Here is a 4,093-nt window from a genome sequence, read left to right as displayed (position 1 = left end):
TATATGTGCCACATTTTCTTAATCCAGTCTATTGTTGTTGGACATTTAGGTTGGTTCCAAGTCTTTGCTATTGTGAATAGTGCCACTATAAACATATGTGTGCATGTGTCTTTATAGCAGCATGATTTATAATCCTTTGAGTATATGCCCAGTAATGGGATGGCTGGGTCAAATGGTATTTCTAGTTCTAGATCCCTGGGGAATTGCCACACTGACTCCCACAATGGTTGTTTCTTTATATTTTCTCTGTTTTGGGTGTTTGCTTTAATATAAGGATTTGTTGATAACCGTGAGTTATATGAAATGATATCACTAACTGTGATAGTTGATAAAGTAACTTTTGACAGAAAGTTAAATTTATTCAAAGTATGGGTTGAAAGTTCTTAAAAGTGCTCACATTCTTTATATTTCAAAACTGGGCTAATGAGCAGGCCCCAGGATAAAGTGAGGGGTGGGGGCCATTGATTAACAGTGATGCATGGGGTTCCAGCCATGAGAGGTAGAAGGCCAAGGGGAGAGATGGGTAATGTGCATAAAGAGTTTCTCGTGTAGCTGGTCCCCTAGAAAGAACCTCCATCTACTCTGTACACTTGCACAGGGCCATTTGGGGATGGATCACAGTGAAGTCTGCAAAGCTTCTCATTATCCTTGAATTTACTGTGATACGGACTGGGAGACCAGTGACTGCTACTCCTCGTTCTATTGTTTCCCAAAATATTCCAGTAGGCAAGGTTTTTTTTTTTTTTTTTCAGGTACAGAGAAGGGCTGGTTCTTCTTTGCCATTAGGGTGGCTGTTTTGTGGGCCAGGGTGATACTTTCTGTTAGCATTCACACATGAAGAAAGAAGCCTGCTTCAGACACCAGCATGGCAGGTGGACTCAAGAGTGTGTTCACCATTTGGGTGTCATCAGAAAGCAGGTAATGAGTCTGAGTTGTGCTGATTTCTCTCTAACTGTGTTACAGAGTAGGTCCAAATGCTATATCAGGAGAGGTCAAATATCTGGCCTGAAGTAAAGTCATGGAACCAAAAATTTAGAGCCAGGAAGATGATATTAAAGTTCCAGTAAGTAGGAAGAAGGTGTGAGGGAGAGAGGAGTAAGTCTTTCTTTAGCTGCGTCCCAGAGATTCTGGTATATTGTCTCTTTGTTCTCATTGGTTTCAAAGAATTTCTTGATTTCTGCCTTAATTTCATTATTTACTAAGGAGTCATTCAGGAGCAGGTTGTTCAATGTCCATGTAGTTGTGTGGTTTTGAGTAAATTTCTTAATCCTGAGGTCTAATTTGATTGTACTGTGGTCTGACAGGCTGTTACGATTTCAGTTCTTTTGCATTTGCTATACAGTGTTTTACTTCCAATTATGTGGTCAATTTTACAGTAAGTGCCATGTGGCACTGAGAAGAATGTATATGCTGTTCTGTTGGATGGAGAGTTCTGTAGATATCTGTTAGGTCCACTTGATCCAGAGCTGAGTTCAAGTCCTGAATATCCTTGTTAATTTTCTGTCTTGTTGATCTGTTTACTATTGACAGTGGGGTGTTAAAGTTGCCCACTGTTACTGTGTGGGAGTCTAAGTCTCTCCTTATAGGTCTCTAAGAACTTGTTTTATGAATCTGGGTGCTCCTGTATTGGGTACATATATATTTAGGATAGTTAGCTCTTCTTGTTGAATCATTACCTTTACCATGATGTAATGTCCTTCTTTGTCTTTTTTGATCTTTGTTGGTTTAAAGTCTGTCTTATCAGAGACTAGGATTGCAACCCCTGCTTTTTTTTTTTTTTTTGCTTTCCATTTGCTTGATAAATATTCCTCCATCCCTTTATTTTGAGCCTATGTGTGTCTTTGCATGTGAGATGGGTCTCTTGAATACAGCACAACAATGGGTCTTGACTCTTTATCTAATTTGCCAGTCTGTGTCTTTGGGGTATTTAGATTTACATTATTATGTGTGAATTTGATCCTGTCATTATGATGGTAGATGGTTATTTTGCAGAGTAGTTGATTTCATGTCTTCATCGTGTCATTGGTCTTTATATTTTCATGTGTTTTTCAGTGGCTGGTACTGGTTTCTCCTTTCCATATTTAATGCTTCCTTCAGAAGCTCTTGCAAGGCAGGTCTGATGGTGAAGAATTTCCTTAGCATTTGCTTGTCTGAAAAGGATTTTATTTCTTCTTTGCTTATGAAGCTTAGTTTGGCCAGATATGAAAACCTGGGTTGAAAATTCTTTTCTTTAAGAACGTTGAATATTGGCCCCCACTATCTTCTGGCTTATGGGGTTTCTGCAGAGAGATCCGCCTTTAGTCTGATGGGCTTCCCTTTGTAGGTGGCCTGGGCTTTCTCTCTGGCTGCCCTTAACATTTTTTCCTTCATTTTGACCTTTGAGAATGTGGCGATTATGTGTCTTGGGGTTGATCTTCTTGTGGAGTGTCTTTTTTTTTTTTCTTTTTTGAGATGGAGTCTCACTCTGTTGCCCAGCTGGAATGCAGTGGCATGACCTTGGCTCACTGCAACCTCTGCCTCCCGGGTTAAAGCAATTCTCCTGCCTCAGCCTCCTGAGTAGCTGGGATTACAGGCTTGCATCACCACACCCGGCTAATTTTTGTATTTTTAGTAGAGGCAGGGTTTCATCATGTTGGCCAGGCTAGTCTTGAACTCCTGACCTCAGATGATCCACCGGCCTCAGCCTCCGAAAGTGCTGGTATTAAAGGCGTGAGCCATCGTGCCTGGCCTTCTTGTGGAGCATCTTATTGGTGTTCTCTGTATTTCCTGAATTTGCATGTTGGCTTGTCTTGCTAGGTTGGGGAAGTTCTCCTGGATAATATAGTGAAGTGTGTTTTCCAACTTGGTTCCATTCTCCTGGTCTCTTTCAGGTACTCCAATCAGCCATAGGTTCAGTCTTTTTACATAGTCCCATATTTTTTGGAAGTTTTATTTGTTCGTTTTCATTATTTTTTTCTCAAATCTTGTCTGCCTGCCTTACTTCAGCAAGATAATCTTCCATCTCTGATATTATTTCTTGCACTTGATTGATTCAGCTATTTATACTTGTGTATGCTTCATGAAGTTCTCGTGTTGTGTTTTTCAGCTCCATCAGGTCATTTATGTTCCTCTCTAAACTGGTTATTCTAGTCAGCAGCTCCTCTAAACCTTTTATCAAGGTTCTTAACTTCTTTGAATTGTGTTAGAACATGATCCTTTACCTCAGCAAAGTTTGTTATTACCCATCTTCTGAAGCCTAATTCTGTCAATTCATCCATCTCACCCTCTGTCCGGTTCTGCACCCTTGCTAGAGAGGTGTTGTGATCATTTGGAGAAGAAGAGACACTCTGGCCTTTTGGGTTTTCAGCATTTTTTCATAGATTCTTTCTCATCTTCATGAGTTTGTCTGGTTTCGATCTTTAAGGCTGCTGACCCTTGGGTGAAGTTTTTTTGGGGACTTTTTTTGTTGATGATGTTGTTGCTTTCTATTTGTTTTTCTTTCAATAATCAGTTCTGTAGGGCTGCTGCAGTTTGATGGGGGTTCACTTCAGGCCCTATTCATCTTGTTTTTTCCTGCACCTGGAGATGTCACTTGAGGAGGATGGAGAACAGCAAAGATGGGTGCCTGCTCCTTCCTCTGGGATCTCTGGCCTCAAGGGGCACCCAACTGATGCCAGTGAGAACACTTGTTTGGGGGTCTTACCCAGTTGGGTGGCATGGGAAGCTGGACCCATTTAACAAGGCACTTTGGCCGTCCCTTGCTGGAGGGGGTGTGCTGCACTGGGGGAAACCCACTCATCTGGGCTGCCTGGATTCCTCAGAGCTAGCAGGAGGAAAGACAGTCTGCTGGTCTGCAGAGACAATGGCCATCCCTCCCACTATGGGCTCAGGCTCAGGGAGATCAGAGTTCTGTCCCTGAGCCCTTGGCTGGAGTTGGAGATCCTGCAGGGAGGCCCTGCAGCTATAGTGTTAGCTGCCGCCCCTCCCCAAAGGAGCTCTGATGGCTTAGACAGCAGGCGGCCGCAGCAGTGGTGATGGGTGTCCCTCCCCCGGGAACTCAGCTGGCTTAGGCTGATTCTAGCCAAGTGGCTGTTGAGAATCTGCATGGCTCCGT

Source organism: Homo sapiens, chromosome 2, assembly GCF_000001405.40.
Source record: "Homo sapiens chromosome 2, GRCh38.p14 Primary Assembly".
Taxonomy (NCBI): Eukaryota; Metazoa; Chordata; class Mammalia; order Primates; family Hominidae; genus Homo; species Homo sapiens.
This window is presented reverse-complemented; position numbering follows the sequence as displayed.